The sequence below is a fragment of the Homo sapiens genome, chromosome 7 (assembly GCF_000001405.40).
Source record: "Homo sapiens chromosome 7, GRCh38.p14 Primary Assembly".
In the NCBI taxonomy this organism is placed as follows: Eukaryota; Metazoa; Chordata; class Mammalia; order Primates; family Hominidae; genus Homo; species Homo sapiens.
Genome location: NC_000007.14, coordinates 103,561,046 through 103,580,677, shown reverse-complemented (window position 1 = coordinate 103,580,677; position 19,632 = coordinate 103,561,046). Strand labels below are relative to the sequence as shown.

The window sequence follows — 19,632 nt, the reverse complement described above, 5'->3', positions numbered from 1 at the left end:
TGATGGGTACACTATAATAAAACTTCAGAAATCACTAAAGAACTTAACCATGTAACTAAAAATCACCTGTACCCCCAAAAACTATTGAAATAAAAAAAATAATTAATTAAATATATACACACCTGAATCTGAAATTGCAGTGTGTTTGATGTTGGGTGGTATAACCCAGTTGGAAGTAAGAGCAGATTGTCCTTAGCATCACAAAGTGAGCCAATACTTTGAGGCTCCCAATGTATCAATATTTTCTTAGACCTCAGCTTTTGGAAGACAAAATATTCATCATTAGAATCCAGCTTCATGGTTAATTTGGATACCATCCAGCTTGCTGCTTGATGGCATTTGTGATGAAGAGCCCTCAACTGAAGAACAGTAAATATGTTTCTACTTTACCCCAAGTAAATGAGCTGTTGTTGCTCCTTCTGCAATATGTTAAACTCAGATATCTCCAAATGCGGTGTTGGAAAACTGAGAATTCTAAGTGTTAAAATTGTTAAAATTTGGAGCTGTTTTGCCATGAGGCAAACATGCTTATAATAGTTACAAGAAAATTGCTGTTTCAGAAATAGGTCTAAGCTGATTTTCTCAAAGGAGCCATTTGTGCTCATATTAATTCACCGGGCTCTTGCCTACAGAAAACACATTGGTGATGGTGAATATATGTTGGTACACCTCTCGCAACTCTCAGAGACATCCCCATCCAGGCAATATGCTATGTAGCCTGCTCTAGGTACACTATGTAGAGTGCAAAAAAGTGGGTGTCTCTGTGCAGGACTAGAAAAAAGTTGCTTAGTATTCTTCAGAATACTCTGCATCTCTGCACGGGACAAGCAGAAACCTTCCTAGTTTGAGAAGCAGATGCAACATCACATTGAATTGTGTGGTGATGGAAGGGTACAGTGCAGAAATCGATTCACTTAGGCATCCCCCAGACAAAAATGAAAATTGGGAAAGGAAACAAAGGGAAAGAATGATATCTTCTTCTTTTTATTTATCTGGGACACGCAAAACAACAAAAGGGAATGCTTTTTGAATAGAATAATCAAACCACACTGTGACGTACTTTTTTTTTTTTTTTTTTGGAGATGGAGTCTTACTTTGTCACCAAGACCGGAGTGCAGGGGCGCAATCTTAGCTCACTGCAACCTCCATCTCCCAGGTTCAAGTGATGCTCCCACCTCAGCTTCCCGAGTAGCTGGAATTACAAGCATGTGCCAATTTGCCCAGCTAATTTTTGTATTTTTAGTAGAGATGGGGTTTCACCATGTTGGCCAGGCTAGTCTCGAACTCGTAACACTAAGTGATCCACCCACCTAGGTCTCCCAAAGCACTGGGATTACAGGCGTGAGCCACTGCGCCTGGCCTATGATCTATTTCTAATAAAATTACATAAGATTAAACTCTTTCTCTCAATCATTACTTCCTCTAAATTATTTCTATACCTTCCTACCAAGTCAAGACCTCTATCAGATGCTCTTCTCTATGTCCTTCTTAATGGTTGTCGGAGTTGCATGGGTGCATTTATTTGTGTGGGTGTTTGATTAAGTGTGTCTCCTCACTCAACTGTGGGCTACATGAAGGCAGGAACCATGTCTGGGTTTTGCTCCTCATGGTATTACTAGCGTTAGCACTGTGCCTAGCGTGCTGTAGATGCTTTCTAGATGTTAACTGAATGAAGGGATGTTGAATAAGGAATAAAGACCAGCAGTAGGTGTTAGCTATAATGAAGACACCTTCCTTTTTCATATTTTTCCAGAATATATGCAGTGCTACTTAATAAGAAATCATTGTTCCACATTCTACTGTGTCTCCTTGAAAAGGCAAGGTTAGAACATGTGCACAAATACATTAGTAGTAACAATTGCAAGGCTGTATCTCCTCTACTCTAAAAGTATAGAATTGAGACATACTTATTAACTTAACTTTAGCCTGCTTATTTCCTTCCTTCTTCTCATGGTCTCTTAGTGACTAGTTTTTATAATGAATTCTTTATCAGTTCTTCCTCCTATTCCAGAAACCCTGAGGTTGCTAAATCAATTGTGTTCAATCCCAAGATTTTGCCACTGAGAAGAGAACAGAGTAGCAGCAGACATCAGGAACCAGGCATAACTTGGAGAAATGGAAATGAAGCAAAACGTGCTGAGGTCATGGCCAGTGAAATCTTTATTGCCTTGAGTTGCACCTTTCAACAAAAAACAAACTAGCAAAGATTGAAAGGGAAAAAGGAACCATCTCTTGCCCTTTCACTCTGAAATACAGTCTTCTATCTAGGACTCTAAGCTATGATTCACCATGTTCTGGACTTACCCTATTAACCAAATGATTAGTCTTTTGGTGTTTTTCTTTTTTAAATCTAAATAAGCGTTCCTTAGTACTGAGCTCCTGGGGTCTTTTACCGTCTCAAACATATAACAGTGCATTCTGCTTCTTGGGTCTATAGAAGCCTTAGGATCTATAACTGCAAACAAGGATACCTCCTCACTCTGGCCAAATCAGAACTTGATTCTCTTATAATAATAAAAACTATAAAAACTATAAGAGCCCAAGAATCAGAGACAGGTCAAAGGATTTCACTTGTCCTTCATTCACTATCAAATTGCCAAAACTTTTTCTAAAATTCTACCTAAACTTAGGATTCTTCAACCCTCTGAATTCTTCTGGGCCCAAATCTGAGCTGGCTTCTTCCATGAAATGGGGCAGCTGATGGAGAGATGCCCTCATCTTGCCCAGGTGAGAGAGCCTGAAGCTGGGGAAAGAAGTTTTCCTTTCTCTTTCATCACTTTCCTTACCACAGATGCTGTGGATCCATGTTTCTCTGGGTTCTATCATAGAAACATAAAAAAGAAGCAGCAAGCATGACTTCTAATCCAAGAGGACTTGTATTAGGGAATTGGCATGTTTTCCTCATTTATCACAGACATGCAGTCTATCTTTTGGAAGCGGCATAGAGGCCTTAACATTTTCCTTAAGAGTAGTTGACAAATGCTGGTGTACATTAATTCCATTTACTTCCTTCAAGAGGACAAATACCTTCAGAGGCTGAATAATGTTACAGCTCCAAGGGAAGGAATTTTCCCAAGGTCCGTGACACTAAGACAATTGTACTTTTTTTTTTTTTTTTTGCTTTTGCTTTGTTTTTCTAAACTTCTTTAATTCAATTCTTTTTACCTTAAAAAGAATAAGATCAATATATTTCAAATTAGCTGCAAAGGAAATACATTTGTATGTTCACCTTCCTCTTACACTGAAACGGGGGCTTGGGGCTTACGTTAATAGGCAATTATCTCTGAACATTTTTAAACCTAATAAACAACATTACTGGCTACAGTTTATAAAGTTGCCATGAGTAGGTAACTTAAAATAATGAAGGGGGGAAAAAAGCCAAGGTTATGGTTCATTGCTGCCAAATTTCCAAAGCCACTTGAAGAGCCAAAAAGAAATCCATTCTGATCTTGCCATGTTATCCTCACAATAATAGAGGGGAGAGGGAGCTGTCTTTATCTACAGTTGTCCTTAACAACCTTCATTAATCTTTAAGATTCTTTATCCTTGTGTACTAAGAAGCTGGATTAACTCAAAAGTCTATAAATATTGGCAGCAAAATAAATTGGAATGTGGATACACCAATACATCTTCATCCTTTGATTATAGCGGAACTGAGAAGGAAGAGATAGTTCCCTGGTATGAAATTATAGGAGTGTGTGTACATATGTGTGTGTGTGTGTGCGTGTGTGCACGTGTTTCCATATGTTGGAAAAGAAAAGATGTATTTTAAAAATTGGAAAGCAATTGGGACAAATTTTAGTTTGGCAACCTCAAAACTATTGGCAACCTCAAAACTGGGCAGTAGCCCAGCCCACTAGTGTTCCAGGGTTTTGAAGTACTGGGACTAGGTCCTTCTTTTGTTCTTTGGCAGTTAAAACTGGTGTTTGTGATTTAAAGATGAGAGATGAAGAGGAAAGGAGGGAAGGCGCAGGTGAATAGAGCTGTCGGTACAAACTTAACTCTTCCCTGCCTGAAGCATGTCAATAGCAAATAGCCAGAGTTCCCTTATCTGTCCTAAGAAAGACAGATTGTTTCAAACATTCCCAAACAGCCTCTTCTGCAGATATCCATAAACTGAGTGTGATAGAAGGGTGAAATATTAATTGAGTAAAATAATGGAATATCTATCTGGATTTTATTATTAAAAGAGCAGAAGGTGAGAAAATATTCAAACATTTATGCTGAAAAAGAAATCAATCTGCGCATGGTGGCTCACATCTGTAATCCCAGTACTTTGGGAGGCTGAGGCGGGCAGATCACATAAAGCCAGGAGTTTGAGACCAGCCTGGCCAACGTAGTGAAACCTCATCTCTACTAAAAATACAAAGATTAGCTGGGCATTGTGGCATGTGCCTGTAATCTCAGCTACTCGGGAGGCTGAAGCACGAGAATTTTTTTTTTGAGACGGAGTCTCGCCCTGTCACCCAGGCTGGATGGAGTGCAAAGGTGCGATCCCAGCTCACTGCATCCTCTGCCTCCCTGGTTGAAGCAATTCTCCTGCCTCAGCCTCCCAAGTAGCTGGGACTACAAGCACGTGCCACCACGCCCGGCTACTTTTTCTATTTTTAGTAGAGACAGGGTTTCACCGTGTTAGCCAGGATGGTCTCAATCTCCTGACCTTGTGATCCGCCCACCTCGGCCTCCCAAAGAGAATCTCTTGAACCTGGAAGGCGGAGGTTACAGGGAGCTGAGATCACCCTACTGCACTCCAGCCTGGTTGACAGAGCAAGATGCTGTCTCAAAAAAAGAAAAAAAAGAGAGAGAGAGAGAAAGGTCTGAGAGACAGCTTATGAAGGTTAAGTGCAGTCAAGCAGACATGACTTTCAAATAAATATTAAGTCTCTGTTGAGTTTTTCTGAATTTTTCTATATTCCAATGCTTTGATATGAGATGTTGGTACAAGAAACAGGTGTGTTGTTTTTCCCAACAGCAAGACCAGATTCCGATGGATCCAGGAGAGCAGCTCACAGAAAAACGTGCCTCCATTTGGTTTAGATGGAGTGTACATATCCGAGCCTTGTCCCAGTTACTGCAGTGGCCATGGGGACTGCATTTCAGGAGTGTGTTTCTGTGACCTGGGATATACTGGTAAGGCTAAATACATGTGTCTGAGGGTTTTATTGTAAAATAGTCATCTCTAGTTGCTGTGTTTCATGTTATTCTCCCAAAGAAATAAATTCTGAATTTATTCCTCTTTAAGTCTAGGAATTGTAGGAATTCACAACCCAGGCACATGAGGTGCTAGGATATTTTGTAGTTTTGAGCTGCTCCAAAAAGGAAACATACTAATACAAATTTCATTTCCTAAAGAGGATTTGTTTATTATTCATAGCAATAATAATTAATACTGCTTGAGGTCCTACTTCATGCCAGACATTGAGGTTCTTTTTATTTCATCCCCTTTAATTCTAACAATAACTCTGTCATAGTACTGTAAACCCTATTTATATTTAAGGAAACTGAGGCACAGAGAGATTTAATAACTATCCCAAGATCATTCAGCTGGGAGTTGCTGGAGCTGAGTATCAAACCCTGGCAGTCATTCTCCAAAACCCAAACCCAAGCTCTTAACCACATGCTGCATGGCTGCATGGCCTCTGTGAGCCCTCTACATCACTATAGGAAACGTTATTTTTTACATTTAAAATAAAAATGCATCTTAGGATAAACCCAAGTCTGCCAAAAGAGTACTTTACAAAAAAAGTATCTCTGAGCACAGTGACCTTTGGATGTTGCTGCAAGCAAAAATGAAAAGAGCTGAGATTAAAGAGGAAAATTGGAGAAAATATTATAAGCTTCAAAATCTTTTTTTTTATTATTTTTCCTGGAGACAACTTCAAAAGGCTTCTTCCCAGCTTTTCAGTATCCCAGCCTTCATCTGGCACGTGACCAAAGACAAACATATGTTGTTGCAGGCCTTCTATGGAGAGTGCTGTCACTCACAGTTTCAAGGATTTTTTTTAAATTTGAGACTGACTGCCCCTATTGATCCTAGAATAGAAGGATAACAAATGAGCAAGTTTTATTGTGGATGAAATCTGTTTCTCAGTTTACACAAATCCTCAGTAGCAGGAACTACGAAAAGGTATGGTTCCCAATGTCTTCCCAATGTCTGTCTCTATTAAAAAATAAAAATTTACAGAGGCAGAATAGTGTTTTTGATGATGGTAGTGATGGCTGTCTTTCAGACCGACAGTTGTGAGATACAAATTTTCATGTGGCCTCTCTCCCTAATGTTAATCCCTATGGACATTCTTCCTTTGCCCATGTGTTGAATAGACCTCGTTTTGAATGATTCCAACAAAGCATCTCTCCTCTCTATTTCTTTTTCTGAAGCTGCACAAGGAACCTGTGTGTCAAATGTCCCCAATCACAATGAGATGTTCGATAGGTTTGAGGGGAAGCTCAGCCCTCTGTGGTACAAGATAACAGGTGCCCAGGTTGGAACTGGCTGTGGAACACTTAACGATGGCAAATCTCTCTACTTCAATGGCCCTGGGAAAAGGGAAGCCCGGACGGTCCCTCTGGACACCAGGAATATCAGGTAACAAGTATTAACTGGTATACTTTTTCACAAACATATTATTTACCACACGATGTAGTCTAACTTAAAACATTCTGTTCTGTTATTGGGAATATATACAATAATGTTTCTGTATATAGATTATGATATGTAAAAATGAAGATAACTTTAGCTTTGGAATAAAATAGGTGGTTTCTACAAAGACCATGCTGCAATTCATAAATCCATGTGTGGTCATCACCAAGGCCTGTGTGTCTAGGGTATGCCAGCTTGATTTTCTGAAGTTTGATATTATTATGAAAACCATTTGGTATTATTCTTAGCATGTGCCGTGTGAAACAAAGATTTTTCCAACCTTACATTCTATGTCTGAAATTGATGCGTCCTCATTTATCTAAGTTGATTTGTATTCACTTATTGAAAATGGTCCCCAGAAATTTTAAATGCCTACACTGACACCTACTGGTAAAATAAAGAACTGTTTGGTTTTTAAGATCAAATGAAATAATAGCACACCTAAAATAAAACTGCTTTTTAAAAGAGCAATTAAATTATTTGAGAAGTGGAAGAAAGGAAATAGAGAAAATGTTTAAAATTTTTAGACCTCCTCACAAAATCTGGGGTCCTGTGTCATATTTTTCCTTCCTTCAATTTCCTTCCCTTTCCATCTGCATTGTTCTCTCAGAGGTGTGCCTGTCAAGCAGGTACTCTCTGTCAGTCGCTATGGACTGAGGCATAATTTACATCGTACTGACTGAAGGCCTGCTGTGAAAAATTTAGCCAAGTGAGTCTAAATCAGCAACTGACAGGTAATTATCTGACTCTAAACAAATATGGTATTCAGCTTCTTAAGTTAGATTTTTCCTCATCTTGGCTGGATGCGGTAGCTCACACCTGTAATGCCAGCACTTTGGGAGACTGAGGCAGGTGGATCACTTGAGGTCAGGAATTCAAGACCAGCTCCTGGCCAACATGGCAAAACCCTGTCTCTACTGAAAATAGAAAAATTAGCCGGGTGTGGTGGCGCATGCCTGTAGTTCCAGCTACTCAGGAGGCTGAGGCAGGAGGATCGCTTGGGCCCAAGAGGCAGAGGTTGAAGTGAGTCAAGATCGCGCCACTGCACTCCAGCCTGGGCAACAAATGCCTAACGTAGATGACAGGTTGATGGGTGCAGCAAACCACCATGGCATGTGTATACCTATGTAACAAACCTGCACGTTCTGCACATGTATCCCAGAAACTAAAGTATAATTTTAAAAAATCTTCATCTTGAGTTTCCAAGGATAGTGTTAACTAGATTTAAGGAATTTCCATTTTTGTAATTCCATTAAATTATAACAGACTGTATTTTTAGTAGAGACGGGGTTTCACCGTGTTAGCCCCGTCTCTACTAAAAATACAAAAGGAAATTAGCCAGGCGTGGTGGCGGGCACCTGTAGTCCCAGCTACTCGGGATGCTGAGGCAGGAGAATGGCGTGAACCTGGGGGGCGGAGCTTGCAGTGAGTCGAGATCACGCCACTGCATTCCAGCCTGGGCAACAGAGCAAGACTCCGTCTCAAAAAAAAAAATAAATTATAACAGACTGTCACAATGAAGTGATATTCAACGGTTTCCTTTTGTTTAGCTCATTATTACAGAATAAAATGAATGGTCATATTAATTAACTTCTTCTAAATGGTTACAGAATTAACTTACTATAATTTATGTATTTTCTGCTTCTCATATGCCCTTTGAGTTTGAAAGTAGTACTTAATAAATACAGGAGGGTTTTTTTCTAATGTGTCAAAACGCTAATGCTTACAGCTCTTCTGAACTCTTGTTTGTAAGTAAACTAAAGTTTTTATTCCCCAGACTTGTTCAATTTTATATACAAATTGGAAGCAAAACTTCAGGCATTACCTGCATCAAACCAAGAACTAGAAATGAAGGTAAGCTGCTGTATTTCCATGGAAATTACAGTTACTATTGGCAGATTAGTCCTTTATCCTCCCAAAGTTTGGCCAGGATTTTGAAAACTGATACATTACCCTGAATCATTCCTTCTCTTCTCTTCTGCTTTGTAGAATCGGTGGCTGCACAGAGCCAAGATCTCTAAGATTTCTTGTACAGATCCTTAGGCCTGAAATATATCATGTCTGCTCTGGGTGTAGGCAGAATCAAAGTGCCATTTGTTTTAGGGAACCCTATTCCTTTATACTATCCGCAGGGAGGCACAAAAAAAAATCCCAAAACAATAGCAGAGACTCTTACATATAGCATGGAAGCTAGAGACTTGTTTGCATAGGGCATTACTGAATGCAGATCAAAGTCTACTTCGGCCCATAAACTTATATTCCGGGCAGACCAGAATCCTTGTGTAGGAGGAGCAGTTCTTGGCAATAATAAATGTTATCTTTTACTGAGACTTATTATATGCAAGACACTATCCCACGTGTTTTACTGGTGTTAATTCATTTTATTTCCAGCATACCCTTTTGCCATAAGTAATATAATTAGTTCTATTTTGCAGATGTAGAAACTGAGGCACCGAAAGGTCAAGTAACCTGCCCATGATCATGCACTAAATAAGTGGATGAGCAGGGATTCAAACCACTCACACTGGCTCCAGAATGTATGCCATAACCATCATACTATACTGCTTCTCTCCTTGCACTGAACTCCACCCTCCCTAGGCACTCATACCATCTTCTGCCTCAAATGATTCAGTTCTGAAAGAAATGCAAAAGGCTTGAAGCATAGGTGGCCTCTGGGAGCTCTACAGATATGATATAATTCCTTAGGGGACCTTGAATGTGAACTGACTCCTCACACAAAATTCATAGGTTTCTCAGATGCATCCTCCTCCAAACCGTGGTCTCAGCAACATGTAAAGAGTTTGCACCTTCTAAGTTTGTTAATATCTCAGTATGACTGTGTAAAACACATTGGCTTAAACAATACCTATTAGTCAGTAGAGCTACCAACAGCTGTGTTCATCAGCTCTCCATTTCCTTGGCCATATTATCACTAACTGAAAGGTTTAATAACTTTTTCTGAATATCTTAGTACTTTTAGTCTAGTAATTATCCAAGTCATCTATTTACTGAAGCAGTATAGAAGCTTTTATAGACCATTTTTGCATTCCCTAATCTCTTCAATAAATATTTATTAAGAATCTGTTCTAAGCCAGACATTGTTCTAGGTGCTTTTATTGATACAATATCACCAAAAGACATATGTCCCTCATCATGAGGTAGGTTATGCTGCAATAATAATAATAAACCTCTAATAATAATAAACCTCTAAATATCAGTGGGCTAAATAAAATGATTTCTCCCCTGTGCTACATTTTCTTCATGGGTCATCCGAGGTCCTCATTCCAGCACCCAGAATAATAAGGTGGCTGCTGCGTAGATTCTGGATGTTGCCAGCCATGTGACAGAGGGAAAGAGAAAGTGTGGTGAAGGGAAAAGAAGCGTAAACCTACCATGTGCTAGAGAGTGAAGAACCAGTGGGGCACTAATGACCACCTAAGGGTAGATCCCTGCCCTCAGGGGAACTTACATTCTAGTGAGAAGACTCAGATAGTAAGCAATCAAGAAAAGAAATAAGCAAGAAAATGTTAGATTGTAAGGGCTAGACAGAAACAAATAGGCTGATGAGGTGGAAAGTAAATTTATGCAGTGGGAGGTGCTGATTTAGATTCAAAAATAGTCTGGATGGGGACTCACCAAGGAAGTGACATTTGATACATTGAAATTTAAAGGACATTTTTGTGCATAACCCTTCTGAAAATTACAAATCCATACCCTTATTTGTGTATGACCTAAAAAAATAAATCCTGAGCAAGGTAGAAAAGAAAGCATCTGCTTATCATACAATAGACAGGAGTCTTTGCTCTGTATTGAACTTCTGTTTACAAGTGCTATTTTCTGCCCTGTGATGCAGATTTCCCTGAGGATCCTTTTAGTAACAAGCAACTTTTTCTCAACTAGTCTTGAGACACTTTCATAAACTCAGTGCCGGCCGTGTAATTCACATCCCACAGGCATTTCTTAGCCTTTTATTGAAAACTGGTTGTTAAAATGTAAATCTGCTTAAATCCTTGAACAAATCTCTTCCAGTGATGAAAGTAGAGATTCTTTACTTACTCAAGCTGAAGCATCAATTTACATATTTGGAATTAAAATCAAAATTATGCTATTTTCAGTAAGACTGGGCATAACGCAGATGGAGCTGCTGTTTAAAAAGAGAAATGTTTCACATGCCTTAAACACTTGGTAGATGAGTTAAAGGGCCTGGTTCATTCAGATGTACAGTGTGTTAGATGACATGGCTAATGAGGTTCAGCAAGTGATATGAGATATGTATATTGCTCTTTGCCTTTCTTGCATTCCTCGACCCTCTCATTCTTATCTGAGAGGCTCTCCTTCTTTGTCCTTTGGAATTGGGGCCCTCATCTCTGCAGACCTTGTTACTGCCTGAGGTATATGTGGCACTCCTTAAAAAGCTAATGAGGAGGAAGACAGAAACCAAATGAAGTATGTACCTCCTGAGCCATGTTTCTTATAATTTAATGTTCACCTGAATCATTTGGGAGCCTTGTTAAAATGCAAATTTAGATTTAGTAGGATTGGAGTGGTATGCTACATAACAAATTATTCCACAACTAAGTAGCTTAAGACATCAAATATTTGTTATCTTACAGTTTCTGTGAGTCAGGAATTTTGGAGCAGCTTAGCTAAATGGTTCTGGCCCAGGGTCTCTGGTGAGGTTGCAGTCAGGACAAAAGCCAGGAGGGGTGCAGTCACTGGAAGACTTAGCCAGGGCTAGGTGATCTACTTCCAAGATGGCTTACTTACATGGCTGTTGGCAAAAGCCTTTAGTTCTTCTCTGCTGTTGGCAAGAGGTTTCAGTTTCTCACTCTGTAGACCTGTCCATAGGCTGCTTGAATGTCCTTACTAAATGTAGGCTGGCTTTCCCCAGAGCAAGAGATCTGAGAGGGAGCAAGGAATAAACGACAATGCCTTTTATGACTGTTTCCAAAGTTACACACCATTACTTCCACCATATTCTATTCATTAGAAGCAAGTTACTAAAACTATCCACACTCAAAGGGGGAAGAATTAAGCTCCACTTTTTGAACGGAAGAGTGTCAAAGAATGTGTGGACATTTTTTAAACCATCACAGGTTATAAAACCTGTTCCAAGGTGATTCAGGTGCTGGTCTCAGACCATACTTTGAGTCAAAGGCACTAGAAAGGACCAGCCAGTGACAATTTATCTCATGATGCTTCATTTCTAGTATCATCTACCTTCTGATTAGGTCACCTCAAAATAACTAAGTAATCTCAATCTCAGCCTCTCTCTCATCTTATTAAATGTAAACCATATTAATACAAATTAGTAGCCACAAGAAAACCTGAATTTTGAAGTGTCTGCACCCTCAGACATCCAATATCACACTAAAAAGCCCATAGGACATATCTTGAGCAACATCAGAGTTTGGAGACTAGAGCTTATGCCACACATTCCTCAACTTGACTAGAATAAAGACAAGAAACAGCCTTGCTTCCATTTTCTTCATGAACTTTGGTGTGACTGTCCCTTTCCCAACACATGGGTCTCACCTTATTCAACAGAAGCTGTAACCCTCATCCCCACACCTGTATATAGCAGGCTGTCTCCCCCAAAGAGTTCTGTTATTTGAACATATTTTCATCCTCTCATTCAGTCTGATTAGTTCTTTTATTTTAAATACAGTAGGTTTGATTCTCTTGAGATTTCTAATTTTAGCATATTTGTCATTTTTGTTCCTGGCATCATCCTTTGTCAGATGTAGTGACAATAATTCCATGGCAATTAATTAGCCGTAAGCAGCCTTCTTTTAGCACTACACTTTATTGTAATATTTTTGAAACTAAAATAATTATCCAATGTGATAAAGGGTTGAGAAGTTCTAGTTAGTCAAGAATAGGGAAACAGAAAGGTTGTGTATAGCAAAAAAAATTATAATTTTCCAAAAGAGTTAGAATTTGCTGAGTGCAATGGCTCACGCCTTTAATCTCAGCATTTTGGGAGGCTGAGGCAGGCAGATCGCTTGAGCCCAGGAGTTTGAGACCAGCCTGAGCAACATGGCAAAACCCCGTCTTTACAAAAAGTACAAAAATTAGCCGAGCGAGGTGGCACACACCTATAGTCCCAGCTACTTGGAGGGCAGAGGTTGGAGGATCACTTGAGCCCGGGGAGGAAAAGGTTGCAGTGAGCTGTAATCGTGCCACTGCACTCCAGCATGGGTGACAGAGTGAGACCCTGTCTCAATTAAAATATATATATATATAAAATATATATATAATAAAGTAAAAATAACAACTTTACTGAGCGTAATATCTATGAATACTCAAAAAATAGTTCAGTATCCCTAGTCGTAATTATGAATATGCAGTGCCAGTCTTAGGAAAATTATGGAATAGGCAATTAGATCAATACCCTCTACCACTCTACCCCCCCTACCAAAGAAGCGGGTATAAAGGCTGGCACAGTCTTATTCTTAATACAGGCACTGATTTATACCTCGTTATACACACACACATATGTATATAATTGATTCCCACAGTTTCATCCTTAGCAACTTTTTCCTTTCATTCAACATTGCGCTTTCTCTGCATCCTCTTTTAGAAGGGACATGAGGTCCCTTACACTTTAATGTGCAGTCCCCTGGATCATGTCACCCTAGTGACAGTGGAGGGGCGTGGATGAATGGGACAAGAAAAGGGGAAAAGGTGACACAGAGAAACGAAAGTCAGACTAATGTTGGAGAAGCGTGAGCCTTTCTGCTTTGCCACTTAATAATTTGATTTCACTTAGGCTTCACTGACCAAGATCTGACAAAGTGCGAAGTGCAAGTAAAAGGATCTTTCTGCTTAATAGAATTTCATACCAGGCGGTGCTTACTGCCTAGTGCGTCAGCAGCAAAGAGCTACTTGATTTTTTGCCAGGGAGATTGAGATATTTCTTCTGAATATATAATAATGATATGAGACTTTGTAATGTTCAGAACAGAATCTAAAATTCAAATACGTGATCTGAGGCAGGTTTTTATGTTCCCCTTACCAACTTACTCATCACTCATACAAAGCTGAGCAGTCTTATAAGAGCTTATGTATTTCATTTCCTGGGAGTCAGTGCATTAGAAACCATCAAAAAATTGATGAGCCTTCAGGTCCACTAATTCATTCCTTGGAAGTTACACAAATGTGCCCTCGTTCTAGGAGACACAATTTGAGGTTGCTGCAGTCTCACCATTTAAGAAATACTGTTCCTTCCCCTCTAGGAAAGTGTCCAAATAACTGGATTTATGTCTTTTAACTCAGGGCTTATTGTTCAGTATTCAAATGACAATGGGATACTCTGGCATTTGCTTCGAGAGTTGGACTTCATGTCCTTCCTGGAACCACAGATCATTTCCATTGACCTGCCACAGGACGCGAAGACACCTGCAACGGCATTTCGATGGTGGCAACCGCAACATGGTAAGTTACTGCTCACTCCAGCTTTCTGGTAGCTTTTAGGTCATGAAGTATCCATACCCACCTTGCACTGTGTGTTTCTTAATTTGCTGTCAATTTCTAGACAATTTGATTTAAAATCACAGTCATGAAGATATTCATATTGCTATGTAACAAAACTTCTCTAACCACCTTTATTCATCTGATTGCAGGGAAGCATTCAGCCCAGTGGGCTTTGGATGATGTTCTTATAGGAATGAATGACAGCTCTCAAACTGGATTTCAAGACAAATTTGATGGCTCTATAGATTTGCAAGCCAACTGGTATCGAATCCAAGGAGGTCAAGTTGATATTGACTGTCTCTCTATGGATACTGCTCTGATATTCACTGAAAACATAGGTATATATTGTCACCAGATAAAGGGAAAATATCTGATTAACTAGAGGACTAAATTAACTAAAAGTCAGGAGAAAACTTTCTAATGCAAAACCGTGTGCCTAACTACCCATGCTGAGGGTGGCTCTCAGTGAAAAAAAAGTTTTATTGTGCTAAGACAACTTGGTGATCCTAGTGACGGTTTTTGTTGGAACTGTCTTTCACAGAACATGAATGATATGAGTAAGGTTTCTTAGAAGAGCAAAAAAATCTATGAGAGGACATTCCTATGTTTCATAACTTGTAGACTTAAGACTCTATGTTTAAAAAAAGATAGATGTTTGAAGTGCTGGATATCCCAATTACCCTGATTTGATCATTACATATTGTATAAATGTATCAAAATATCACATGTAACCCAATATATGTATAACTGTAATATATCAATATTTTAAAGATAATATGTTAGCCCTTTCCAAGGTGGTAATGCTTTTCAAATTAGCAGCCTTCTATATTTCTAAATCTATGGTAACCAAATAGAAGCAGAAAATATAAGAAGAAAAGTCAAAGCACATAGGGGGCACTAAAGATAGGCCATGATTTTTGTTTGCTATTGAAGATGTTTATTATAAGCATAAACACCAAATAAGAAAATGGCACACATATATGCTACCATTACACATTTTTTTTTTTCAGGAAAACCTCGTTATGCTGAGACCTGGGATTTTCATGTGTCAGCATCTACCTTTTTGCAGTTTGAAATGAGCATGGGCTGTAGCAAGCCCTTCAGCAACTCCCACAGTGTACAGCTCCAGTATTCTCTGAACAATGGCAAGGACTGGCATCTTGTCACCGAAGAGTGTGTTCCTCCAACCATTGGCTGTCTGCATTACACGGAAAGTTCAATTTACACCTCGGAAAGATTCCAGAATTGGAAGCGGATCACTGTCTACCTTCCACTCTCCACCATGTGAGAATTGTCATTTGGCTACATGTCAGAACTTTGGGTGCCTGTCACTTAATTTGAAAATAATTGTGATTCGGCCTGGGGATTCTATTATTCTTTCATGATAATTATGCATGGAAGTGCCAGGAAGAAAAAAAAGTGCAAGGTGCTTTGGGTTGCAAGTTTTAAATGTGGCTAGAGAGCACCAAAAGTTTTATGAGGCTGAACTTTTCTGTTCTTTGCCAGCATAAAGGCTGCCCACCAGATTCCATTTTTAAACTGTTGTAAAAATAAGTCTCTGCCCATAAACCAGACTGATACTTATTCACACAAAACAGTATGTGAAATTACCACATATTGGAGAGTATCCTTAGTTTTTTTTCATCTCAGTACCACAGTATGAACAAAAGGTTGGTTCCTTTGGAATGCTCATATTGTTTTGCATCTGTCTTCCCCTCCCCAGCATTTCAGATCACATTCAAGAGTTGTACTGACTTACAGCAGGCTTCCACTTTTGTGGTGTAGGCATTTGGATCATTGGAGGATGTTTCTGGGAACTAACGGGTACTGTGGTGACTGGTTAGAGGCTGTACCTCCTGTGACTGCTCCCCCGAGATCCTTGCCTCTCCATTCCTGTGCTCTGTTCTGAATGGCAGGCTGCATTTCCCAGCCTCCTACATCTGTCAGACACTGCAGGAGAATGGAGGGGAGAGATAAGGGATAAATCAGGGTGTTCCTCCCCCCTCTTTCTGCCTCAAGTGCATCTTGGCCAACTTCTGTGGCTCTAGCTCCCCTGGGTGGCCCTCCAGGTGACCCTGGTCCCTGGGCACCAGCAACAACACTTCCTCCCTGTGTCCCTACAGTCTCAGACTCACAGTAAGTGGCTTCCTGACTTTGCTAAACTCCGGTTTCCTCACTGCTTCTACTGGCTTCTCTGCTCTGCCACTTGCTATACATCCAATTCCTTGCACTAATTTCTTTCTGTGTTAAGTGTTTATAGTGGTTTCTGTTTTCCTGGTTCAAACCTGATCCAGACATGTACAACCAAGAGGCAAGGGAAAATTCAGGAAGCCAAAACATTTTAGTATTTAGCCTAAAATAGTTTCCTATGACTGCTAAAGCTTTAAATAGTGCTTACTTGTTTGTAGCTCATTTATTCATTTTTTAAAAATTCAACAAACACTTATTGAATATCTACTGTGTTTTAAGCACTCTGGTACTACATGAATAAGCTGATGCCAGGATCCAAATGTGTTAAAGTCATGCATCACTTAACGATGGTGATACATCTGAGAAATGCATCGTTAGGCAATTCCATTGTTGTGTGAACATCATAGAGTGAACTTACATAAACCTTCATGGTTTAGCCTATTACACACCTATGCTGTATGATATAGCCTATTGCTCCTCAGCTACAAAGCTGTACAGCATATTGCTATACTAAATACTGTAAGCAATTGTAACATAATTCCAAGTATTTGTATATCTAAACATATCTAAACATAGGAAAGGTACAATAAAAATATGGTATAAAAGATTTTTAAATGGTACACTTGTATAGGGCACTTCCGATAAACAGAGCTTACAGGACTGGAAGTTGCTCTGGGTGAGTGGGTGAGTGAGTGGTGAGTGAATGTGAAGGCCTAGAATATTACTGTACACTACTATAGATTTCATAAACACTATGCACTTAGGCTCCACTAAATTTAAAAAAAGAATATTTTTCTTTCTTCAATAATAAATTTACCTTACTATAACTTTTCCATTATATAAACTTTTTTTAAAACTTTTGGACTCTTGTGATAACAGCTTAAAACACAAGCACATTGTACAGCTGTACAAAAATGTTTTCTTTCTATCGTTATTCTGTAAGCTTTTAATATTTTGAGAACTTTAACTTTGAAAACTTCTTTCTTAAAAACTTAGACACAAAAATACACATTATTAGCCTTGGCATACACAAGGTCAGAATCATCAAGATGTCAATTAGCAATAGGAATTTTTTTTCAGATCCATTATAATCTTATGAGACCATTGTCATAAATGCAGTCCATCATCGACAGAAACGTCATTATGCAGCACATCACTGTATTTAGGATAACAAACCTCTAAGCAGCTGTTTATGCTATAAGATGATACCAGAGGAAGTACTCAGAGATATTATTGAAACACAGGAGGGTACTACCTAACTCATTTGGGGAGAACTGGAGGGAGCTTTCTGAAGGAGTTGATGTCTCAGCTGACTCTGAGTAGGGCTTATCCAGGAGAAGAGGGGAGCAAAAGGGCATTTGTGCTGGCATAAGCCAGAACAAAATCCAGGAAGCCAGAAAAAGCATGGGTGGATGGGGAAATTCAAGGGCTCAGTGTTGCCAGAATATAATTGCAAGGTAAGAAGTAGGAGGTCTGGAGCCAGGAAAGAGGACAGACAATGGAGGAGCCATGTATGTCATCCTAAGTAGTTTGGTCTTGACAGTGCATATGTTGGGGAACCACTGAAGGGTGGTAAACAGTGTTGCTGTGATTAGGTTTCCATGTTAAAGCCACCATGCTGACAGCTGTGTCACATCCATGGAGAACTTGTGTAGGGGAAACAGTTCTACTTAGAATGGTGCTGCTGAAATTCTACTTCAAGTAGACTGTGTTCCACATTCCACATAACAGACAAACACACTTCTATGCAAACTTTTCCTAAGTGAGGGGCTGTTACTGTTGTTTGGTAAGTCTGCATCTATTTCTGGATAAAGCAGTCTTGTGACCCAAGATACTCCAAATAACAGATTGCAAATAAATAGAAAATATGAGAATACATCACATCATTCTAGGCCTCAGCTTTAGAAAGCCAGAACCTCAAGAACCAAAGTAGAGTGCAGAAGTATCAAGGGCTTCCATTTACTCTCAGAAACCATTCCGGGACAGTAAAATAGAGACCTCACTGCCAGAACTTTTAAGACCCTAATTTTTCCTCATGTTTATCACCTTCAATCCCTCCCAGTACTGAATAGCAATAAGAGTCTGAAAGCAAAAACTGAAATTCTGCATGTATTTCAAAAACAAAACAAGTGGATAGTTCAAAATAACTTTTCCATTTCACACATGTGTTTGTAGAATCTTACATGAAAAAAATAGTGAAATATTTAAATAACATGCTTTCTACTCTCCTGTTTATGAGTCAAGAGAAAACAGCATTTCTTACTACTTAGTAGGAAAATAAAGTACGTCAAGAAAGAGAGAACTGGACCCTGGAGGAAGGCACTTTAAAGAGAAAAGGGAATTAAAATAAATGTCCTTGTGCTTTCAAGGTTGCTTGTCAAACCAGTGGTGTGTTTTTTTTTTTTTTTTTTTGGTTAGTTCTCCCAGGACCCGGTTCAGATGGATTCAGGCCAACTACACTGTGGGGGCTGATTCCTGGGCGATTGATAATGTTGTACTGGCCTCAGGGTGCCCTTGGATGTGCTCAGGACGAGGGATTTGTGATGCTGGACGCTGTGTGTAAGTTAATAAAACTGACAGTTTCTTTCTTTGTAACGCAAAAATAAATATGGCTTGTTGAACGTGTGACAAATGTCTTTTCTCCACTCCCTCTCTTTCTTAGGTGTGACCGGGGCTTTGGTGGACCCTATTGTGTTCCTGTTGTTCCTCTGCCCTCGATTCTTAAAGACGATTTCAATGGGAATTTACATCCTGACCTTTGGCCTGAAGTGTATGGTGCAGAGAGGGGGAATCTGAATGGTGAAACCATCAAATCTGGAACATCTCTAATTTTTAAAGGGGTCAGATACAGATAAGATTCTCCTTCCCAACATTACTACTAACATTGTCTTCTTCAGTCACTGCTCAACACAAATGGATTTCTGAATCTCTTCAAATGACATAATATTTAATACATAGTTATTGACTTTTAGCCCAAACCATGTTTCCTCTTCTGAGTGCAATCATTTTTTCATGATTACTTGGGCATAAAATTTCTCCTCTGCTTTGGTGATCAGACCTTCCTTACTTCCTGCTGGAATTATATACATAAATTTATATGTAGATAGTTTTTAGAATGTAAATTTCCATAGTCTAAGATTTTATGTTACTAAATATTTAACTTGGAATATTTTCTAAATGACTTTATGAACGGTCTTTAATTTTCCTTTTCTTTTTTTTTCTGCCAATAGAACCATTTGGTGACTTTAAGAAAATCAAATACTTAAGTCAAGTAAAATAGCATTCTCAAACATTGTTAATATCTTTTTGTATTTCAACCGAGATGT

At 39.2% G+C, this 19,632-nt stretch overlaps 1 protein-coding gene across 2 annotated transcripts in view; it reads left to right on the top strand.

The window, feature by feature from the left end:
- Positions 1 to 19,632, top strand: part of RELN (reelin) — a 517,870-nt gene that overhangs the window by 408,981 nt on the left and 89,257 nt on the right. For both annotated transcript variants that reach the window (NM_173054.3, NM_005045.4), the window contains exons 29-36: positions 4,973 to 5,130; positions 6,379 to 6,586; positions 8,418 to 8,494; positions 13,919 to 14,077; positions 14,266 to 14,454; positions 15,127 to 15,400; positions 18,725 to 18,865; positions 18,969 to 19,146. In NM_173054.3, the coding sequence (NP_774959.1) occupies positions 4,973 to 5,130; positions 6,379 to 6,586; positions 8,418 to 8,494; positions 13,919 to 14,077; positions 14,266 to 14,454; positions 15,127 to 15,400; positions 18,725 to 18,865; positions 18,969 to 19,146 (1,384 nt within the window). The remainder of the gene's footprint in view (positions 1 to 4,972; positions 5,131 to 6,378; positions 6,587 to 8,417; positions 8,495 to 13,918; positions 14,078 to 14,265; positions 14,455 to 15,126; positions 15,401 to 18,724; positions 18,866 to 18,968; positions 19,147 to 19,632) is intronic.